This window comes from Homo sapiens, chromosome 5, assembly GCF_000001405.40.
Source record: "Homo sapiens chromosome 5, GRCh38.p14 Primary Assembly".
NCBI classification, from domain to species: domain Eukaryota; kingdom Metazoa; phylum Chordata; class Mammalia; order Primates; family Hominidae; genus Homo; species Homo sapiens.
The window spans coordinates 154,412,550-154,436,650 of record NC_000005.10 but is presented as its reverse complement, the minus strand read 5'-3'; the positions used below and the strand labels follow the sequence as shown (position 1 = coordinate 154,436,650).

Genomic DNA, 24,101 nt, shown 5'->3' with positions numbered 1-24,101 from the left:
CACATTAAGGATACACAAAAAACTAGTAACTGTGGTTGCCCCTAGGATAGGGACTATGACTCAAGGGAGAGAAGATAGAAGTAATTTTAATTTTATAATCATTGTTCCTATTTGGATTTTTGTTTTACTACATGTCTATATTTCTTTTATAATAATAAAAATACCATCTAGTACTGTTATTTTAAAAAGGAAATATGGAATAGCAAAAAAAAAAAAAAAAAGGAAGAATCTTAGAATAACAGTCATTTAAATGGAACAAATTTGTCCTTATGAAAACCCCACAACATTGTCCTTTTTTTTTGCATTCCACTGAGGACCTGGGAAAGCTTCCTCCAGCCCTGATGCTGGCCTGCAGTATGGCACTTGACAGCTACTGGTATTGTGGATAGAAGCAAAGGCTCTGGACTCAGCAACACTTGGTTTGAATTCCAGTTCTACCACTTACTAGCTGTGGTGCTGCTGACAACTTAAACTCCATGAACCTCAGTTTTCTTCATCTGTAAGGTGGGATAACAGTACTTCTCTAATAGGGATATTGTGAGGATCAAATATGATGATCTAAAGCAGTTAGCACAATATCTTGCACATAGTAAGTGCTTAATAAGTGGCAGTTATTATTTCATACATTATAAGGTGATACCCCTGAACTTCCATTGTATCCAGATTCAGATTTCTGCATGTTAAAGGACACATCATATTGCAAGACGATAGGGTGGTACTGCCTATCAGCCAATTGTGTAGGCTCCAGATCCATCAGCACAGCAATGATTGGGAAAGTACTTGATTATTCCATGTTATCCTCATTTTATAAAATTTTGTCAGTGGAAAATGGAAGTACCAATAGTAGTGATAAGAAGTATGCATCTGTCAAGTAAGTGAAAATACAACCCACTGAATGGGAGAAAATGTTTGCAAATCATATATAAGGCAGTGGTCCACAACCTTTTTGGTACCAGGGACCGGTTTTGTGGAAGACAATTTTTCCACGGTTGGGGGTGGGGAGGGGGTTGGGGGTGAGTGGGGATGATTTCAGGATGAAACTGCTCCATCTCAGATCATCAGGCATTAGATTCTCACAAGGAGCACCCAACCTAGATCCCTCCCAAGTGCAGTTCCCAGTGGGGTTCACACTCCTGTGAAAATCTAATGCTGCCGAAGATTTGACTGGAGGCAGAGCTCAGGTGCTAATGCTCCCTTGCCTGCTGCTCACCTCCTGCTGTATGGCCCCATTCCCAACCAGTACCTCTCCATGCAGGTGTGGGGAGGCAATGCGGTGTGGGGAGGCAATGCGGTGTGGGGGTGTTGGGAACTGCTATGATAAGGAACTTGTATTCAGAATATATGCAGAACTCTTATTACTCAATAATAAAGAGACAAATAACCCAATTGAAAAGTGGGCTAAGGGTTTGAATAGACATTTCTCCAAAGAAGATAAACAAATGGCCAATAAGCCCATGCAAAGATGCTCAACATCCTAATCACCAGGGATATCAGAAGGGAAATGCAAATCAAACCTGCAATTAGGTATTACTTCACACCTACTAGGATGGCTGTAGCCAATAAGACAGACAATAACAAGTGTTGACAAGGATGTGGAGAAATTGAAACCTACATATATTGCTGGTAGGAATGCAAAATGGTAAAACACTTTGCAAAACAGTGTATCAATTCCTCAAAAAAAATTTTTTTTTTTTTGAGACGGAGTCTCTTGTCACTGAGGCTGGAATGCAGTGGCATGATATCAGCTCACTGCAACATCCACCTCGTGGGTTCAAGTGATTCTCCTGCCTCAGCCTCCCAAGTAGCTGGGATTACAGGCACCTGCCATCATGCCCGGCTAATTTTTGTATTTTTAGTACAGACGGGGTTTCACCATGTTGGCCAGGCTGATCTTGATCCTGACCTCAGGTGATCCACCCACCTCGGCCTCCTAAAGTGTTGGGATTACAGGCATGAGCCACCTCACCCAGCCCAATTCCTCAAAATTTTAAAATAGAGTTACTTTATTAATCAGCAATTTCACTCTTAGGTATCTGCCCAAGAGAAATGAAACAATTCATCCACACAAACACTTTTACATGAATGTTAACAGCAGCATTATTCACAATAGCCAAAAGGTGGAAACAGCTCAAATATCCATCAACTGATGAAAGGATAAACAAAATGTGGTATATTCACACAATGAAATATTAATGATACAAAGGAAGTGCTGACACATGCTGCAACATAGATGAACTTTGAAAATATGCTAAATGAAAGCAGTTACAAAAGACCACATAATGCATGATTTGATTTATGTAAATGTCCAGAAAGGGCAAATCCATAGATACACTATAGAAAATAGATTAGTCGTTGTCAGAGGCTAAAGAGAGTAGGGAGGATTGGGATGGGGAGTGACTTATGGGTACAGGGTTTCTTTTAGGGGGACAAAGATATTTTGGAATTAGTAGTGATGGTTGCACAACCTAGTAAATATACTAAAATATATGAAATTGTACATTTTCAATGGGTGAATTATGTAGTATACGTGATTTATATCTCAACAAAAAGGAGTTTAAAAAGAAGTATGTGTATCATTGACTCTTTCGATATAAACATAGAAATCATTAGACTTATCGAAAGGGATGAATCTTTAGCCTCCATGGGATGTTCTTAAGCCTATTGCTGTTTTTTGATTTGTGAAGGAAAATAATCAAATTGAAGGTACATTAGGAAGGACAGCAAACATATGATCAGCGATTGTGTCTAAAAATGCAGGTGTAATTGGACATGCTGTACCACTTTTTATTCCCAACATAAATTTGTTGTTTGACTTTTGTACTTTTGACATTAGTAATATTTTCTGAAATAAATTGTGTATGGAAGCAGGGGACTGTGTTTACTGTGTCATGGGGAAGGCAAATGATCTCTCAGCCCTCTTCACTTCCCATTTGTTTAATGCTGAACCATCAAGCAAACTTCCTCTAGGGAATAATTCAGCTGGTACCAGGAGACTGCACATAATTATTTGGGCCACTGGAAAATTCTAATGCCCATGAAAAAATAGCTTTTGGTTTATAGATCAGTCTTTTGTGAATTTGGGCAGGAAAAGTCAGCCCTGGAAAGTGGTTTTATTTTGACCATAACTAAATATGCAAAAAATAGTAGGATAAATAATGAGATTATTAATAAATCTCACAAAACTGTAATTCTAAGGTTTAGCTTTAGTTTGGTTGGTTCATCAACAGCTCAACAATTTTGGAGGTCCAAATCTGTTCTGGTAAGAGCTGGGGATAAAATGGTGGATGATATAGACACAGCCTTGCTTGCCCAAAGTCAAGTGGAAAAGTAACATAACATAAGAGTGAATAACATAATTATGCATTATTCATAGATTCCATTATTATACTCATTCACAGATTCCAGATTTACAATTTACCTACTCTCTAAAATGTATTTGTAATCTCAAAAATCAATGCTCTTGGCCGGGTGCAGTGGCTCACGCCTGTAATCCCAGCACTTTGGGAGGCCGAGGTGGGTGGATCACCTGAAGTCAGGAGTTCAAGACCAGCCTAACCAACATGGTGAAACCCACTCTCTACTAAAAGTACAAAAATTAGCTGGGCATGGTGGCGGGCAACTGTAATCCCAGCTACTCGGGAGGCTGAGGCAGGAGAATCACTTGAACCCGGGAGGTGGAGGCTGCAGTGAGCCGAGATCGCACCACTGCACTCCAGCCAGGGTGACAGAGCAAGATCCTGTCTCAAAAAAAAAAAAAAATCAATGCTCATTGCACTTAAAAAAAATTCGTATGTTTTGAGACTGGTCTTACTCTGTCACCCAGGCTAGTGTGCAATGGCACAATCATAGCTCACTGCAGTCTTGACCTCCTGGGCTCAGGCAATCCTCTTGCCTCAGCCTTCCTAGTAGCTGGGACTACAGGCATGTTCCACCATATCTGCCTTTTTTTTGTTTTTTGTAGAGATGGGGTCTTGCTATGTTGCTAATACTGGTCTTAAACTCCTGGACTTAAATGATCCTCCTACTTCAGCCTCCCAAAACACTGGGATTACAGGCATTAGCCGCCGCACCCTGCTATATGGCACTTTTGAGATTACTTGAGAATGTGCATATGCACAGAGTGGTGAAGAAAATTCGAGTTGTCCAGCAGGCGCTGTCACAGACTGAATGTCTGTGTCCCTTCCTGAATTCATTTGTTGACATCCAAACCCCCAAATGGGAGATAGGGCCTTTGGTACGTGATTAATTCATGAGGATGGAGCCCTAATGAATGGGATTAGTGCCCTTATAAAAAGACACTGCAGAGCTCCCTCTTCTTTTCCACTGTATGAGGACATAGTGAAAACATGGTAGTCTATGAACCAGGAAGTGGGCTCTTACTAGATACTGACTCTGCTGGCACCTTGATCTTGGACTTCCCAGCTTCCAGGACTGTGAGAAATAAATTTCTGTTGTCAACCAGGTTAAGTTATTTTGTTATACCAGCCTGTAGACACACACGTTCACAGCTAAGGTCGAACCAGAGGACATCTGCCTTCTTGTTTCAGCTCTCATACTGTAAACAAGTGTCCTTTGGTGGTTTATTGAGTGCCACATTTTTCATATTTTTAAGCTTTTTGTTGGTGATTTTGGTTTACATGGTGCCCAAGCATAGGGCTGAAGTGCTGTCTAGTGTTCCTGAGCACAAGAAGACTGTGATGTGCCTTACAGGGAAAATATATGTATTGGAGAACCTTTGCTTGAGGCATGAGTCATAGTGCTATTGGCTGTGAGTTCAATTTAATGAATCAATGATAAATATTAACTAAGGTCTCTCTAAACATAAATGCATATAAAACAAGATTATGTATTGATCACTTGATTAAAATGTTGTGATCAGAGGCTTGCAGGAACGTACCCCTGTACTTCCCCTAGGGACAATAGTTCAGTATTCACTAACTGTGTTCATGGTGACTTACAGAACATAACTACCATGAACCATGACAATCGACTGTAAGTCAGGATACATGCCATGCGAGGAGCTACAGAGGTGCTGGAATGATTAAGAATGATGATGGGGGGATGTCTATTCTTAATAGGGTGGTCAAGGAAGCCTCTTGGGGGAGGTGACAGTAAAGCTGAAACCTAAAGGATGAAGCTGCAGAGCAGGGGGGAAGAGTATTCCAAGCTGAGGGAACAGGGTCCGAAGGTGAGAGAGCTTTGGACTCTGTGGGGAACTGGGGTCCTGCCAGGAGGTGATGGAAAAGTAGGCAGGGATCAGTCCCAACAGGCCTTTTGGGCCAGGCTAGGGAGTTTGGGTTTATTGTAAAGGCCTGGAGTAAAGTTACCTGTAGGCAGTGGTAATCAAGTTATTCTCTTTTAATTTGTGTGGGAACTCAAATCTGTTCTCATCACTAGGCCATAGAAGTTGCAGATCATCCCTTATGCACCTGGTATTTGCAGGGCCTAGGACAGAGCTGGGACCAATCACTGTGGGTACAAAATGCGAAACACCATGAGCCCAGGGTACCTATTTCAATCCGTGTTTGTTGATTAAATGACCAAGCCCTGGGATTCTGTGGCTGCAGCTGTGAAGAAATCATAGCAGAGATTTTTTCCCCAGATCCCAGAGAAACGCAGAATTCAGGCCTCTGCTTCCCAGGCTGACTGACAGGCCAGTGGTGTGGTGTGGGGGCTTAGCTCTGGGCTCTCATAAAGGCAGACCTGCCATCCTCTTCCTCCTACCCTCAGGCGGAAGCTGGCAGGAGATCAGACGATACTTGGATTCCAAGGAGTTCATGAACAAAGGCTGTAAAGTTGCTAAGAAACTGCCTTTCTGGGGGTTCACCATTTTTTTTTTTTGTTCCCGTGGTGTTGTGTGTGAGTGAGTGTGAGTGTGAGCACACCCAGGGCTGTCACTCTGCCAGGCCTGAGTGAAGTCACACTCGAAGGGAAGAACTGCAGGCTGCCGTGCAGGTGCAGCACCACCATGGACCCCAGGTGTCCCTAAGCTGGGCAGACCAGGCTTTGAGGATAACAAAAGTGGAACCAGCTGCCCGAGGCCAGAGGTTGGCAGAGCTGTGTGCAGCTGCAGCAGGGAAGCCTTGGATGTTGAGTGTTGGACCCACTTACAGCAAAAACCAAGAAGCCCTGGGTTGGGAGATACCAATAACAGAACTGGGAGGGAGTCCCACCCCTACCTCCCAGCTGAGCTTGGAAAGTAAATTCTTAACAAAACCAGGTCATTGCAAAATACAAGATGCAAGATTTATAGAACTCTAAGAGTCCAGGCTGACCATTATCTAACTTGCCTCCTTCTCCTTATTCTCATGTGGAGAATCCAAAGCCTAGGGAGGGGAAGGAACTCTCTTAATGGGATGTAGCATATATCAAGTGCAGGAACCCGGCCTATCAGAAGGGCTGTGGGCTGTGAGTGGAGGGAAAAAAGGCCTGGTGTGTACCTGAAAATATAGTACTCATCCATTTGTCCACTCATCAAGTACTTATTGAGCTTCTACTAAGTTCCAGGATCCCCTAAGCCCCAGTTCCAACCAAACAGAGAAAAGTAGAGCCCAAAACTTTGAGCAAATTGCTGGCTTCTCTGACTGTTTCCCAATAAGTGTGCCACTGCCAACCACCACCACCACCACCACCACCACAACAACAACAACAAAGCTCACACTCTGTGTCTAGCTCAGCATCTTAGATACATTGGATTCTACTCTCGCTTGCAGGCTTGGAAGGAGAAGGAGCTAAAATGGGTGAGAAATGTAATACCTACTCCCATTCTTCCACCAGCTCAAGGAAAGGATCTTGCCCCTAAGTGGTCAGTGTCTTTGAGGAGGCACCAGAGGTCCACTTGCCCTGGCTTGTTTCTCACTGTGTTTGCCCTGGGTGCCCATTATGTGCTAAGCAGTGGAGTAAGTCACTTCCTGGCTCCAGACATCAGTCAAGGGCATATCTGATAATCTCACTGTGCCCAGTTTTAAACCCTTTAATGGTTTCTATTACTCTTAAAATAAAGATCAGAGTCTCCTTAATGTGCCCCACAAGGGCCTATGGTGCTGGCTTTTGCCTACCCTCTCCCTGTTCTCCTCTTTCCTTCCTGTTCTCTGCTCCAGCCTGCCTGCCTTTCATGCCCGCCATACTCCCTCCATGGGGTCTTTGCACATGTTGGCCCCTGCACCTGGAATACTCTCCCCCTTTTGTTTCTTTTTTTCTTTTTTTCTAATAAAAGAATTTAATCTTTTTCAGGAAATGATTAAGCATTTTGGAAGTAAATATAGGTGAAAGTCTATCTTATTCATTGGTGGAAAAATATTTTTTAAACAAAACAAAGTTACAAAAGAAAATATCAATACATTTGGCCACATAAAATTTGTCCAAATAAACTTAAAAAATGCAAATATAGGACAGAGCTTTAACATCGACATATAATAAAACATTCTTGTGTATTGACCATAAAGGAACTAAAACTTTTAAAAATATATATTAAAAGATATAGGCCAGACCCACGCCTGTAATCCCAGCACTTTGGGAGGCTGAGTTGGGCAGATCACTTGAGGTCAGACCAGCCTGGCCAAAATGGTGGAACCTTGTCTCTACTAAAAATACAAAAATTAGCCAGGTGTGGTGGCACATGCCTATAATCCCAGCTACTCAGGAGGCTGAGGCACGAGAATCGCTTGAACCCAGGAGGCGGAGGTTGCAGTGAGCCAAGATTGTGTCACTGCACTCCAGCCTGGGTGACAGAGCGAGACTCTGTCTCCACCCCCACAAAAATAAAATTCACATACCATAAAGTTCACCATTTTAAAGCGTACAATTCAGTGGTTTTTAGTATATTTACAAAGTTGTGCAACCATCACCACTTCTTTTTTAATTAATTTATTTGTCTAAATTTATGGAGTGCAAGTGTCATTTTGTTACAAACATAGATAGATTACATAGTGGTAAAGTCAGGTCTTTTAGTGTATCCATCACTGGAGTAATATACATTTTGCCCATTAGGTAATTTCTCATCCTTCACCCCCTCCCAACTCCCACCCAATGGAGACCTTCTGAGTTTTCATCGACTATTACTTCACACATATTAATGTGTAATAATGTACATATTATTTAGCTCCCACTTATAAGTGAGAACATGCAACATTTGTCTTTCTCTGTCTGATTCGTTTATTTTGAGTTAATGGCCTCTAGCTCCATCCATGTTGTTGCAAAATACATTATTTCATTCCTTTTCATGGCTGAATAGTATTCCATTGTGTGTGTGGGTGCATGTGTGCATGTATATATATACACATATACACACACAATGGAATACTAGTATATGTGTGTGTGTATATATACACACACATGTATACGCACATACATGTATATATATATGTATATACAAACACACACAGGGTAGATACTGTTTTACATAAAGGTTATGCTAATTAACATTCCCACCAACAGTGTATAAGAATTTCCTTTTCTCCATATCCTAGCCAACATCTGTTATTTTTTTGTCTTTTCAGTAACAGCCATTCCGATTGGTGTAAGATGATATTTCACTGTGGTTTTAATTTGCATTTCTGTGATGATTGGTGATGTTGAACTTTCTTCATATTCTTGTTGGCCATTTGCTTTTCTTTTTTTGAAAAATGACTATTCATATCCTTAGCCCACTTTTTGATGAGATTGTCTGTTTGGTTGTTGAGTAGTTTGAGTTCCTTGAAAATTCTGGATATTAGTCCCCTGTTGGGTGTATAGTTTGCAAATATTTTCTCCCATTCTGCAGGTTGTCTGTTCACTCTTTTGCTATGCAGAGGTTTTTTTCTGTTTTTTTTTTTTTTTTTTTTGAGATGGAGTCTCGCTCTGTTGTCCAGCCTGGAGTGTAGTGGCGTGATTTTGGCTCACTGCAACCTCTGCCCCTCGGGTTCAAGCGATTCTCCTTCCTCAGCCTCCCGAGTAGCTGGGATTACATGCGCCTGCCACCACACCCGGCTAATTTTTGTATTTTTAGTAGAGATGGGGTTTCACCATCTTGGCCAGGCTGGTCTTGAACTCCTGACCTCGTGATCCACCCGCCTTGGCCTCCCAAAGTGCTGAGATTACAGGCATGAGCCACTGCGCCTGGCCTGCTATGCAGAACTTTTAAAAGTCCCATTTGTCTATTTTTGTTTTTGTTGCCTGTGCTTTTGAGGTCTTAGTCATGAATTCTTTGCCTAGATCAATGTCTAGAAGAGTTTCCCCTAGTTTTTCTTGTAGTATTTTTATAGTTTCATGTACTACATTCAAGTCTTTAATCTATTTTGAATTGATTTTTACATGGTGAGAGATAAGGGTCCAGTTTCATTCTTCCGCATATGGCAATCCAATTTTCTCAGCACCATTTGTTGAAAAGGGTGTCCGTTCTGCAGTGTATATTTTTGTTGACTTTGTCAAAGATCAGTTGGCTGTAGATATGTGTGTTCAAATCTTTGCTTGGCTTATTCATCTTTTGATTGTTGTATTGCCAGAGATCCCTTTATATATTTTGGATACCAGACGCTTGTCAAATATAATCTGAAAATATTTTCTCATTCTGTGAGTTTTTTTCTGTTTTCTTTTTATTTCTTTTCTTTTCCTTCTTTTTTCTTTTTTTTTTTCAAGGCAGAGCCTCGCTCTGTCACCCAGGCTGGAGTGAGATGGCATGATCTTGGCTCACGGCAACCTCCGCCTCTTGGGTTCAAGTGATGCTCCTGCCTCAGCCTCCCAAGTAGCTGGGATTACAGGTGTGCACCACCACTCCTGACTAATTTTTGTATTTTTAGTAGAGACGGGGTTTCACCATGTTGGTCAGGATGTTCTTGAACTCCTGACTTGAAGTGATCTGCCCACCTCAGACTCCCAAAGTGCTGGGATTATAGGTGGGAGCCACCGCACCTGGCCTCTTTTCACTTTCTTAATAGTGTACATTGAGGCACAATAGTTTTTAATTTGATTTTAATTTAATTTTAAAATTTAATTTGAAATTTAATAATTAATTTTAAAACTTAATTTAAAATTTACTAATTAATTTTAAGGCTAGGTGCAGTGGCTCATGGCTGTAATCCCAGCACTTTGGGAGGCTGAGGTGGGCAGATCATGAGGTCAGGGGATCAAGACCATCCTGGCTAACATGGTGAAGCCCCATCTCTACTAAAAACACAAAAACTAACCGGGTGTTGTGGCACACACCTGTAGTCCCAGCTACTCGGGAGGCTGAGGCAGGGGAATTGCTTGAACCCGGGAGGTGGAGGCTGCAGTGAGCTGAGACCATGCCACTGCACTCCAGCCTGGGCGACAGAGCGAGACTCCGTCTCAAAAAAACAAAACAAAACAAAACAAAACAAAACAAAACAAAAAAACCCAACTTAATTTAAAATTTAATAAGTAATTTTAAAATTTAATTTTAAATCAATGAAGTCCAATTTATTTATTCTTTAGTTGATTGTGTTTTTAATATATTTTAGGAAACGATTGTCCAATTTAAGGTCACAAAGATTAACATTTATTCTTTATTCTATAAATTTTTTAGTTTTCACTCTTACATTTAAGTCTTTTATCCATTTTAAGGTAATTTTTGTATGTAGTGTGAGGTAAAGGTACAAATCCATTCTTTTGTATGTGGATATACAATTGTCCTAGTGCCATTTTTTTTTTTTTTGAGATGGAGTCTCACTCTGTTGCCCAGACTGGAGTGCAGTGGCATGATCTTGGCTCACCGCAACCTCCACCTCCCAGGTCCAAGTGATTCTCCTGCCTCAGCATCCCAAGTAGCTGGGAGTACAGGTGCCCGCCACCATGCCTGGCTAATTTTTGTATTTTTAGTAGAGATGGGGTTTCACCATGTTAGCCAGACTGGTCTCCAACTCCTGACCTCAGGTGAGCTGCCTGCCTCGGCCTCCCAAAGTGCTGGATTACTTACAGGTGTGAGCCACAGCACCTGGTCTTCCCTAGTGCCATTTTTCGAAAAGACTGTTCTCTCTCCGTTGGATGATTTTGATTCCGTTGTCAAAAAGCAATAGACTGTAAATGTATGAGTTCTGGACTCTCAGTTCTGTTCCATTGATCTATATGTCTATCCTTATGTGTGTCTGCATTACTGTATCTTTGTAGAAAATTTAGGAATTGAAACGTGTAAGTCCTCCAGCTTTGTTATTCTTTTTGAAGATTTTTGTGACTGTTCTGGATCATTTACATTTCCATATAAATTCTAGGATTAACTTGTCCATTTCTACAAAAAAGGCATTGAAGTGGTTTTTTTTTTTTTGAGATGGAGTTTTGTTCTGGTTCCCAGGATGGAGTGCAGTGGTACGATCTCAGCTCACTGCAACCTCTGCCTCCTGGGTTCAAGTGATTCTCCTGCCTCAGCCTCCCCAGTAGCTGGGATTACAGGCATGCGCTGCCGCGCCCAGCTGATTTTTGTATTTTTAGTAGAGGTGGGGTTTCACCATGTTGCCCAGGCTGGTCTTGAACTCCTGACCTCAGGTGAGCCACCCGTCTTGGGCTCCCAAAGTGTTGGAATTACAGGCGTGAGCCCCTGCGCCCAGCTACCACTGAAAATTTTGATGAAGACTGCATTGAATCTGTAGATCAGCTTGGCAAGTACTGTGATCTTAATATTGTTTTCTGATTCATGAGCAGGGAATGTCACTTTCTTAGGTCTTCTTTAATATCCTTCAACAATGTTTTGTAGTCGTCAGTCTTGCACTTATTTGGCTAAATTTATTTCTAAGTATTTTATTCTCCCCTATTGCTGTTATAAATGAATTTTCCTTTTTGTTTTGTTTTTTTTTGAGACAGGGTTTCACTTTGTCACCCAGGCTGGAGTGCAGTGGTGTGATCTTGACACACTGCAGCCTCAAACTCCTGGGCTCAAGGTATCCTCCCACTTCATCCTCCCTAGTAGCTGAGACTACAGATGTGCACCATCATACCTGGCTAAGTTTTAATTTTTTTTTGTAGAGACAGGGTCTCACGATGTTGTCCATGCTCGTTTTGAACTGGGCTCAAGTGATCTACCTGCCTTAGCCTCCTAATGTGCTGGGATTACAGGCGTGAGCCACCGTGCCCAGTCATAAATGGATTTTCTTAATTTAATTTTTGTTTATTGTCAGTGTGTAGAAATACAACTTGCTTTTTCTTGGTCAGTCTAGCTGAAAGTTTGCTCATTTTTGTAGACAACCCTTTTCAAGGAACCAACTCTCGGTTTCATTGATTTTTTTTCTATTTGTCTAATCTCTTTAATTGATTTCTGCTCTAATCTTTATCATTGCCTTCTGTTTGCTTTGGGTTTCATTTGCTCTTCTTTTTCTAGTTTCTTAAGGTGGAAGATTGGATTATTAACTTAAGTTTTTCTTCTTTTTAAGTGTAGGCATTTATAGCCATAAATTTCCCTCTGAGCACTGATTTTTCTACATCCCATAAATTTTGATATGTCATGTTTTTATTTTCGTTTGTCTCAAATAATTTTCTAATTTTCCTGGAAATTCTTTTTTGACCCATTGGTCATTAAGAGTGTTTGTTTAATTTCCATATATTTTGAATTTCCCTAAATTTTCCATTACTGATTTCTAATTATATTCTGTTGTAGCTGAAGAACCTATTTTATGTTATTTCAGTCTTTTACAATTTATTGAGTCTTGTTTTCTTACCTGACATATAATCTATTCTGGAGAATGTTTGATGTGCACTTGAACTCTGTTGTTGCTCTGTTCCTTTCCTCCTTTTTTTGTTGTTATGGTATTGTGCTGTTGATGGGTGGAGTGTTCTATAGATGTTAGTTCTAGTTGGTTTACAGTATTGTTTAAGTTTTATATTTCCTTATTGATCTCATGTCTACTTGTTCCATTCATTATTAAAAGTGGGGTACTGTAGTCTGCAGCTATTCTTGTCAAAGAATTATTTCTTCTTTCAATTCTGTCAGTTTTTGCTTCATGTGTTTTGGGGCTCTGTTATTAGGTGCACATATATTTTTAGTTGTTACATCTTCTATCTTCTTCTTGACCTTTTATCATTATAAAATGTCCTTCTTTACCTCTAGCAAAAATTTTTGTCTTAAAGTCTGTTCTGCCTGCCATTATAACCACTGCAGCTCTTTGTTGGTTACTGTTTGTGTGGAATATCTTTTTCCACACGATCTTTTAAATCTTTTACATTTTCAATTTATTTGTGTCTTTGTATCTAAAGTGTGTCTCTTGTAGACAGCTTATAGTTGGGCCATGTTTGAATGCATTCTGTCAATCTATGCCTTTTTATAAGGAGAGTTGAATCTATTTACATTTAATGTAATTACCAATAAGGAACGACTTAACTTCTGCCATTTTGCTATTTGTTTTTTATGTCTTATATCTTTTTTGTTCAATTCCTCCATTACTACTTTCTTTTGTGTTATTTTCTAGTGTACCATTTTGATTCCCTTCTCTTTTTAAAAACTATGTATTTTTGAGTTATTTTCTTAGTTGTTGCCTTGGGGGTTAAAATTAACATCTTAATTAAAAAATTCTGATTCAGGTTATAGTATATGGCAACTTTGCTCTTATATAGCTCTGTCCCTTTCTTCCTCCCCTTTCTCGTTAGTTATTGACATATAAATTACATCCTTACACATTGTGTGCCCATCAATAGATTTATGATTATTTAATTATGCAGTTTGCTTTTAAATCAGCTAGGAGAAAAAATAAGTTTTAAAAAAAACCCTATCTATACTGTCTTCTATATTTACCTATATAGTTATTTTGACCAGTGCTTTTTATTTCTTTATGTGAATTTGAATTACTGGGTTTACCCAATGGGAGGCAGTGAGTGGCAGATGACTGGAAGGTAGAAAAGGAGGAAGGACAGGATATGTATTCCTCCCATCTCCTCTTGTTTTGGCAGTAGCTGCAATTTACTACCTGCAGCTGCAGATCCCATTGGGAAGCCCCTGTTCCTGGCTACAGCCTTCTCTGCATTATAGTAACACTACTGCTTCTTGCCTTTTCAGGCTTACAAGTAGTAACAGCTTCCCATTTCTGCTAGTCCTTAGGTGCTTCACCATCCTTTGTTGTTTCCTTAATCCCACCCATACTTCTGCAATAGTTCCTTCATTAAATTCTCTTCTGTTACTCCAGGAGTGGGCTATATCATGACAAGATCTTAGCCGACTCAGCATGCTCCATGACCTTCTTGCTAAGGTCAAGTTCTTATACTCTCACGTGTACTTCTCCTTTGCAGAGCTTACCACAGTCCCTAACTATACATTTATTTTAATGATCATTTGTTTAATGTCTATTTTTCTAACTAGATCATAAGTGCCTTGCACAGTCTTTTAATTTCTAGCACAGTGCCTGGTATATAGTAGGCATTTGATGCATTTTTACTGAATGATAGCTAATATTTTTCTCTTATCTGTTTCATGGAATTCTTCTGAGAGTCTGGGGGGTACAACAGGTATAAAAGGCTTTAAAAATTGAATCTCTCCCCATGTCTACAAAGCTGTAAGGTGTTATTGTGTGAGGATAACATGAGCATGGGCATACTGAAAACCTGGATGGACTGTGTCAGTCACCACCATGTCATCTTGGGTCAGAATTTCCCCTTTGTGTTATTCAGCCTTTGTCAAGCCATGGTCCATAGCACCCTCTGGTGGTCCCTGAGTGACAGCATGAGGGGGCAGCTTCCAGCTTCTGTTCATTGTCACCCGTAGCCCCCAACCAAGACTCAATCATAGGACCACAGGTGGAGCTGGAAGCATCATCCAAAAACTTGTCATTTTACTGTGGAAAACAGGCCTAGTTGGAAGCAGCATTTGCACAAGATCTCACTGAGTTTTTTTGTAGAGCTGGGCCAGACAGTGCTCTTCCTACCATATCTAATACCTGATAGCATGAAAATGTTTTGGTAAGCAAGTACTCATGCCTGTTGGGTAAGCATCAGAAATGAGTTACAGCTGGGTGTGGTGGCTCATGCCTGTAATTTCAGCACTTTGGGAGGCTGAGGCAGGAGGACTGTTTGAGGCCAGGAGGTCAAGAACAATCTGGGTAACATAGCAAGACTCCATCTCTACAAAAAATAAAAAAAATTAGATGGGCATGGTGGTGTGTGTCTGTGGTACCAGCTACTAGGGAGGCTGAAGTGGGAGGATCACTTGAGCCCACAAGTTGAAGGCTGCAGTAAACTATGAGTGCCACTGCACTCCAGCCTGGGTGACAGAGGGAGACCCCATCAAAAAAAAAAGTTATGCTTATTTCATATTGTCACTGCCCTCCTGAGATCCTCCGCTCCTGGGTGTGACCCTTTGTGGGCTGCCCCACGTAACTCTTCAAGCTAACCTCCTTCTGCTCCTCCAACACAGAAACTTCTACTTACCTCAGGGCCTTTGCACTAGCTGTTCCCTCTGCCTGGAACTCTGTTCCGGGAAATCATCTTGGTTCACCCTCCTTCATGTCTTTCAGCTCTCACCATTCTAGCTAACGTTGACCCCCACTCCAGTCTCTAATATATCATTGCTTTATACCCTTCATAGCCCTATTTGCATCTGAAATCATCTTAGTTGTTTTAGGTCTGCCTTTCACTCTAGAATGATGGCTGTTGGGAGTTTTTAGTACCCAGCAGAATGCCTGAGTCCGAAGTAGGTGGTCTACGTGAAGAATGATGAAAAGAAGAATGACACATGAGAAGGAAGAAGGCAGAGACCACTTTAGAGAAAGTCTGGAGGTTTACTCAACAACGTTCACAATCACAATTGTACATGGTAAATCAGTCTTTCACAAAGGCTTATTTTTCCAGGCAGGAGGAGAGGCTGGTGGTCTTGAGCTTTTGGCCTGGAATTCCAGTCTGAATTTTCAAATATTCCCTGCCTCCAACCCCTTTGGGATCCTAGTCTTCAAGCCAATAACAGAGCAGGAGTCTGACCCTGTTCTGTTGCCTGGCACGGCTGAATCAAAGCCATTCTGGAAGCAGATGTTAAGGTGAACTTGTCACTTGGTATGTAGGTCCGACTCCCATCCCAGAGGTGGCAGTGGGCCTTGGCTCAAGATCAAGTTTGAACTAAAATATTACTTGGATTTTTCACAAAGAGTGTCCGTTGAAAGCAATAAGGAATTCCAGAACAGAACTGCACTTCTTGTCCCTCTCTCACACTTACAAAGCTTCAGAAAACATTAAAAATGCATTACCTCCTAGGAATTACAAAAGATCACCCAACTGTACAAACTAGATATCGCTGAAGCAGAGACTCTGATTCCTCAGTTACTACTGTAAAGTGCTTTGCCACTCTTTTTGAGACTCCAGAGACTAGGAAAATGGAGATGCACAGAGAGACATAAGGAGCTGTTTTCCAAGACATCACCTGTTTCTTAAGGAAAAAAAGAAATTCAACTGGTGGGAAGTTTGAAAAGTGAATGTCATGTAGACTTTGGAAATCCATTTGTTACATCTTTAACAGAAACTGCTCTTTCTCTCCTGGACCGAATGTCACATCCTCTCGTCCGATTCCTCCTGTGGATGTACCCCGTTCTGCCTGAGCATTTTTTCCTAAAGGGAAGAATCAATAGTTTCTGACTGTTTTAACAGCTGAAAGCTCCAACTGGAGGCAGAAGATGGGATGGCTTTTCACACACGTGCGTGCAAGTTTAGCCACCTCCAAAGGCCTTGTTCTTAAAGCAACAGTGCTGTTTGCATTATGAAATGTCTCTGGAGTTCCCCTTTGGAAAGGCTGCTGGTGGGCCACATGGTCACGATACTTTCAAGTCACACCCTACTTTGTGACCTTATCCTCAGAGTAAAGGCTTTAGAGGAAAAGGGACCCCACAGTCTCACCCATTACCTGGCTGTCAGCATCTCCATATGCTCCTGGCTGAGTTTTATTGAGCATCAGCTGGGGATGTGAGCAGAAACCTGAATCCTTGAGACAGGTGGTTTTCAAAAAGGAAGCCATAACAATGAGTGGCTTAGTACTGGCAATTGATCAGTTGGTCCATGAAATGGAGCCAGTCAAGTTCTGTCCTTCCTTCCCCTCCCACATACTTTGTCAAGTCCCAGGACCTACTGATATGGGCTCAGCAATGACAAATGCCAGAGTGCTCAGAGGACACACCCATCCCTTTTCAGGGTGTGAACCCAGACTGGAAAGGAGAACCAAAGGATGGGAAAGGCAGGCCCGGGACGGCTTGCTGCTGCTCCTGCTTTCACAGGAATCCTGGTCATGCCAGGAACACTGCCGCCCACTTGGGGTGGGACTATGTGGAAGTCTAGCTAGTGCTCGGCACCCCTTAACCCAATGGTGAGAAACAGGACAAACATGCTGGGGGTTCAGAGGGTGGACCGCAGGGATGGCCCCCAAACAGGTCCCAGTGAGGTAATGCAAGGCCTCCTCTCGGGGGCTGATGAGGTCTTCTAGGCCACAGACTAAACGCACTGCCCAGCCTTTAGTTTGGAGTGTGACTTGCACTGACTGAAATAAATCTGACCTGTCACCCTTGGGGGACATCTCAGTCTCAGATCTTGCTCCAGACCCAACATCTCCTGCTTGAAATGAGACATTAAGAAACACACACTCATCCAGTAGGAACTGCACACACCACCAAAAACGTTCCCCTCCCCACAACCCTGCCCCTTTATGTTTGTCTAGCAAGGCACTAGGAAATGGTTCAAGTTTAGGGATTTGCTCTATATTTGCATTTTTCTTTTTAAAAGGCACAGTTTTTATTTTAACGACGCTGCATTGCTCTTTGATGATGAATCTCAATTCGACTCCTCAAACTGTCAACACTCTTGTTATCCTAGATTCTAGAAGGGGCCTCATCTTTTGACTTCTTTCTATAGAGGGCCACTTCTAAAGCTACAGCACTCATTTGGAAAAGGACACTGGGATCAACACGTAAGCGTTGCAAGCACAGGGGCCGCCTCTCTTGCAGACAGGTGGCCAAAGCAGGGCTTGTGCTGGGCCAGAAGTGGAAGTAATTCCTCGCCAGCTACACATTCAGTCTGACTGGTGGATGATTGGGAGTGTTTGTCCCTCCCTCCCCCAATAATTGATGGCCTTGAGATCTGCCAGCATCTCAAAGGCAGATTCGTGGCTCTGTTCCCAGACTTAGGTCTCAGTTATTTAATTGGTAAATGACACAATCAAGAGACTCAACACTAATTGGAATGCTGATTTCAAGTATTTCCTGGGCTAGCTGGTGGAAGCCATAGATTGTGGAATGTGATTTCCATTTCTGAATCAGTGGGTGGCAGGTTGGTTACAGAAATGCTTCCTATTAGTCTGGAGGCCCTCTAGGAGTCTGACATGTAATTAACAAAGCAAAAGGTAAACATGAAGGGCTGGCATGGAGCTGGGTGTATATCTGGCTGTGGGACGTCGGGTTCTTTTCTCCACTGCAAATGAGACTACAGTTGTGATGATGGTGGGAGGTTCCAGGGGTGCAGGTCTTCACCAAGGACCATGTTGTACCACAGCCTCTGCTGAGCTGAGGGACACATGTCCCCCTGCTTTCCCAACACCACCAACTTTGGATTTCACAGATTGTCTCTAGGCTGGGGGCTGCCTTGACTGTATTACACCTGGCTGGCTCCTTTAATCACAGCATTCTAGAAATCCATATTGGATGTGGAATACCAGAATCCTATGTAGCATCCTAGTTTGCAATCCAATTATAGAGTTCTTTAAAAATTCTGGAGTTCTGTATGAGAACTAGAACCATGATGAGGTCAGAGGCAGGCACTTTGCCCACAGTTGATCCTGGAGGCCTCCAGACTCTGTGAGGTGAGCACCTCGCAGCACCTCTGTTCCTCTTTTGAGGCCAGTAATTGCCTGGGGAAGAGAGACAGGGAAATGGAAGCATGGATCAGGGCAAATCAGCCAGCATTTCTAGTTTGGAGGTCTACCTGGCCTTTTCCGTGGGCTCAGGGCCATCTGAAACACTGCCCTGTAAAGCTGGTGCTGGGCTGTCCTTGTGCCTGGAGAGTGCTAAAATTGACATTTCAAATACCCAGAGAGCAGGGGGAGATATCCCGCATGTCCATAGCTGCAAAGAAATGTCTAGGGGGGCTCCCTCTTCTGACTCCTCACCTGGCAGCTGATCAGCATTCAATACTGAACACTCTTAGGGCCCCAAGTATGGCCTTTGACCGGACCAAATCACCTGGGGTTGTGACAGAGAACAGAAGCTGTGCAGTAACTGCAATGTTCCCCCCAGGACGGCAGAAACTAAAAAGCCCCAAGAGGACTTCTTTCTCTTCTGCTGCAGATGAGTGGCATCGATACTAAAAGCTGCCCCAAACAGGCAAATTTTACCTTTGTTTCTAAAGCACCATCATGTAGGAGAGCCATCTGAGGGCTGGGCAACCTCGCAGGACTCACTTTTGGGTGGCCTAGGCTACCTTGGTGTTCTCCCACATAATGTTCAAGGGGACATAGTGACAAAGTTGAAAAGGCTCTGTTGCTTTTCCGTGATGTCAGCAGGGATTAAAGCAGTCTCTGCTCCCTGTGGGGCCTCTTGTGGGATATGCTCTTCACCCTACCCCCACAACTCAGGGGCTCAAGGACCAGGCAGACCCCAGCCCCTGAATCAAGAGCCCTCTTCACCCTGAACCATTTGGCCAGCACCTTTTACACCTAGTGCCCACAGGGGCCCTGCCTCCCTTGAAAGAGGAAGTCTGCAGTGAGTGCCAGACCCTGGGGGGCCTGCCAAGGGGACATGAGGGCTCAGTTCCTATTGAATTTTTCCAAGACTGTTGAGTTGGTGTGTTCAAACAGCCACTGCTGGGTGAGAGAGGATGGGTTGCAGGTGTTCATGAAGATCCTATGGTCACTTTCACTGCAGTCCATGCAGCTGCCACTGACAGGGTGGTACAGGGTCTTGTCCTACAAAACATGGAGGTAATAAGCCAGACAGCACTGGAGACATGTGGCCAGTCAAACCACAGCAACAATACCAGCAATGAGAAAGTGAGGAAGTGACTGACTGACTAGCTGTTCATACACCTGTTGGTTTTCCTCCTGAGCTCACAAGCCGGATGCTGCCCAGCCTCCCTTGCAGCTGGTATTGCCGTGGGACTGGGTTCTGCCCGCTGGGATGTGGCCAGAAGTGATGCACGCAGCTTCCAGGCCTGGGACCTAGACACTGCCCACCTCCTGTCAGACCTCACTGGTCCTTATCGTGTGTGTGTGTGTGTGTGTGTGTGTGTGTGTGTGTGTATGTGCTTTCCTTTTATCTTTTATTTTTTTAATTTTTTTAATTTTTTTGAGACAGGTTCTCACTCTGTCACCCAGGCTGGAGTGTAGTGGCACAATCTTGGCTCACTGCAACCTCTGCCTCTCAGGTTCAAGTGCTTCTCCTGCCTCGGCCTCCCGAGTAGCTGGGAGTACAGGCATGAGCCACCATGTCTGGCTGATTTTTGTATAGAGACGGGGTTTCACCATGTTGGCCAGGCTAGTCTCGAACTCCTGACCTCAGGTGATCCACCCACCTCAGCCTCCCAAAGTGCTGGGATTACAGGCATGAGCCACTGTGCCCGGCTGCACTTTTCTTTTTAAATGGAATCAGTTGCCAACATTTAAGACTTGAGGATTTCACAGTGAAGTCTAGATTTCTGACTACTCTTGAATGACTACAAAATCCGGCATGGTAGGTTTGTGGCACAAATGAATAAGTGGATGGGCTCTGTTGAAAGAAGGGGTGAAGCACTGTATTGCCTTAAAAAAAAATTAAGCAGGTGCCCTGCTCCCCCCGCATCCCATCTTACTTTGCGGTATTTCCACAGCTGGTTGCCCTTCATGCTGTGGCAGTCGTACAGCGTGACAGGGCTGGTGTGGGAAATGGCATCAAAGCAGAACTTCTTGGTGTGCTGGGGGTCTCCAGGCCGGATGTCCTCTCTCCAGGTGAAGGTGAATACCTGTGCACAGGGGCATCATAAATAGGGATAGCAAAGCCAAGGACTTTCTTTTTTTCTCCATTTTTTTTAAATTATGGAAAAATTTAAACTCAGAGGTCCAAATAATAATATATTAACCTGTTCTAACCACCTAGCTTTAAAAGTTACTAACTTGGCCAGGTGCGGTGGCTCACCCAGCAGTTTGGGAGGCCAAGGTGGGTGGATCACTTTGAGGCCAGGAGCTTGAGAACAGGCTGGCTAACGTGGTGAAACCCCGTCTCTACTAAAAATACAAAGATTAGCTGGGTGTGGTGGCGTATGCCTGTAATTCCACCTACTCGGGAGGCTGAGGCAATGAGAATCACTTGAGCCCAGGAGGCAGACGTTGCAGTGAGCCGAGACTGCACCACTGCCCTCCAGCATGGGGGACAGAGTGAGACTCTGTCTCAAAAAAAAAAATAAGTTACCAACTCAAGGCCAACGTTGTTGCAGCTCTACTTCCACCCCTATCCTTACCCTCACAGTATTTTGAAGCAAATCTCAGCTATCATATCATGTCAGGTATAAACACTTCAGTAAGTGCCATTATAACATCTAAAAGTAGTTACTACAAGGTCCAAAATGTCATCAAATATCCACAGTTCAAGTGTTCTTGGGATTCTTTTTTTTGTTTGTTTTTTGAGACGGAGCTTCACTCTTGTTGTCCATGCTGGAGTGCAATGGTGCAATCTTGGCTCACTGCAACCTCCACCTCCTGGGTTCAACCAATTCTCCTGCCTCAGCTTCCCAAGTAGCTGGGATTACAGGTGTGTGCCACCACGCCTGGCTAATTTTGTAGTTTTAGTAGAGAAGGGGTTTCACCACGTTGGTCAGGCTGGTCTTGGACTCCTAACCTCAGGTGATCTGCCAACCTTGGCCTCCCAAACTGCTGGGATTACAGGCGTGAGCCACCGTGCCTGCTCAGGATTCTTATCAATTTCTTTTCACAGTTAGTCTGAGTCAAGATCCATTTGGTTGATAACCTTTGTTACTTTTCAGTAGCTTTACTGAATAATAACTGGCATACAATAAACTGCACACATTTAAAGTGTACAATTTGATACATCTTGACATATGTTTACACCGAGAAACCATCATCATAATCAAGGTAATGAACATACCATTACCCCGCAAAAGTGTCCTCATGCTCCTCTGTAATCTCCTCCTCCTGTCCCCACCAACCCCCATGTCCTTAGGTCAGCCACTGATCTGCTTTCTGTTTCTAGAGATTAGTTTGCAATTTCTAGAATTTTCTATAAAGGAATCATACAGTATGTATTCTCTTTTGTGTCATTCTTTCACTCAACATAATTTTGTTGAGAATCATCTATGTCCTAACAGCATTTATCAATAATTCATCGCTTGTTATTGCTGAATTTGCACTCCAGTTCCTTGTTACAGGACATCTTGGTGGTTTCCAGTTTTTGGCTATTACAAATAAACCTGCTATGAACATTAGTGTACAAGTCTTTGTATGGACACATGTTTTCTTTCTCTTGGATAAATACCTAGGAGTGGGATGACTGGTTCAATGGTCAACTTTCTAAGAAACTGCCACAGTTTCCCAAAGTGGCTCTGCCATTTACACTCCCACCAGCAGCATACAGGTCCAGTTCATCCACATCTTTGCCAATCTTCAGTGTGGTCAGTCTTTTTAATAGGTGTGTGCTGGAATTTCCTTGTAATTGCAAGTTCTATTTCTCTATTAACTAATGAAATTCAGCATTTTAAATATGTTTATTTGCCATTCATATATTTTTTTTGGTAAAGTATCTGCCCGCTTTAAAATTAAAAAAATTATTGACTTTTGAGAGTTTGAGAGGATACAAGTCCTTTCATTTATATATTCTAGATACAAGTCCTTTATCAGATATATGCTTTACAAACATTTTCTTCCCATCTGTGGATTGCTTTTTATTCATTTTGAATTAGTCCAGTTTTTCAATTTTTTCTTTTATGGATTGTGTTTTTGTTGTTGTATCTAAAATATAATTGTTTATCCCAATGTCACTCCACCCAGGCTGCAGTGCATGGCACAATCACTGTAACCTCGAACACCTGGCTTCAAGCAAGCCTCCCCTAAGCTTCCCACACTGTTGGGATTGCAGGCATGAGCCCACTATTGTCTGAGCAGTGGCTCTTCCTGCAGGCTGGCTTACCCTCTGCATCCCACCCATCCTGCAGGTGAGGCTGACCATGCCCCTAGGCTCCAAGAGTCAAGGTAATGAACACACCCATCACCTCTCAAAAGTGACGGCTCTGTCCTCATCAATATGAGGACTTCCTCACTTCCTGCATAATCAGCTCAGGGACACAATTCATGGGAGCCCCAGGGCTTTTCCAGAACTCTTGGAAGTGGCATGCCTATCCATGGGGCTGCTGATGGCCACATCTGCTACTATATAGGAAGGGCCAGGTTGAGAATGAGGCCCGCAGAGAGGGAAGCACTCTCTTGAGAGATCCAGCAACATCATCAAGGCTTTTCAGGGACATGAGACAATAACGCACTTTTTGTTGAAGGCCATTTGGGCTGAGTGTCCATCATTTGTAACCAAAATGGTCCAGACTGATGGTTTTATTGCAATGTGAAGGAATCCCCTTTCCACGGTGTTCAGGAAGATCTTAAAACTCATCCCCGGGGCTGACTCTTGTCATTTATCACTGACCCATGCCTCTCCCTCCCAGCTGGCCGTGTCAGCACCCCAGGCTGCAGATGTTTCAGAGAACCTGGCTGCCAGTCCCTGAGGGGCGGCCCTTACCTGCATGTTGTTCCAGGCAGCCTCCCCACGGCCTCGGACGCAGCCCTCTAGCCTTAGTGGGGAGCCCAAGGCCCCGTGCTTTGTGTCTGCACACAGCCCTGTGCCCACATTTCGGATCTGAAAGGGAAAGAGGGAAGAAGTGGACCACTGAGGTGCCTTAAGGTGCCCACCGGGTCCCTGCCAGGTGAAAGGGGAAACCAAGTGGGAGACATTAGCTGGATTAACCTTCAAATCGTCTTGATAAAGCTTGCCCTGGGCTGTTGGAAGTACCTTGAGCCTCTCAATGAAGGAAGACTCAGTCCACAGAATGTAATCCTTAAAGCACTGCTGTAAGTAGTATTGTAGAGTATGCAGAGTCCTGGGTTGGTGGTGGGGGAGTGGAGGTGAGGAGTTGGTAAAGGACTCCCTGGCCCTACTCCTGGAGAAATTGAACCGACAGGTCCAGGAACCAGATTT

The 24,101-nt window shown here is 43.1% G+C and overlaps 1 protein-coding gene and 1 long non-coding RNA gene across 2 annotated transcripts in view; one reads left to right on the top strand and one right to left on the bottom strand.

Moving 5' to 3' along the window:
- SAP30L-AS1 (SAP30L and GALNT10 antisense RNA 1) overlaps window positions 1-24,101 on the top strand; it is a 56,054-nt gene that overhangs the window by 9,172 nt on the left and 22,781 nt on the right. The window lies entirely within an intron of this gene.
- The window catches only part of GALNT10 (polypeptide N-acetylgalactosaminyltransferase 10), a 230,252-nt gene continuing 221,817 nt past the window's right edge, over window positions 15,667-24,101 (bottom strand). The window contains exons 10-12 of the mRNA NM_198321.4: window positions 23,646-23,762; window positions 20,719-20,868; window positions 15,667-19,837 (exon numbers count right to left, since the gene is read on the bottom strand). Of these exons, the coding sequence (NP_938080.1) occupies window positions 19,679-19,837; window positions 20,719-20,868; window positions 23,646-23,762 (426 nt within the window). The 3' untranslated portion in view covers window positions 15,667-19,678. The remainder of the gene's footprint in view (window positions 19,838-20,718; window positions 20,869-23,645; window positions 23,763-24,101) is intronic.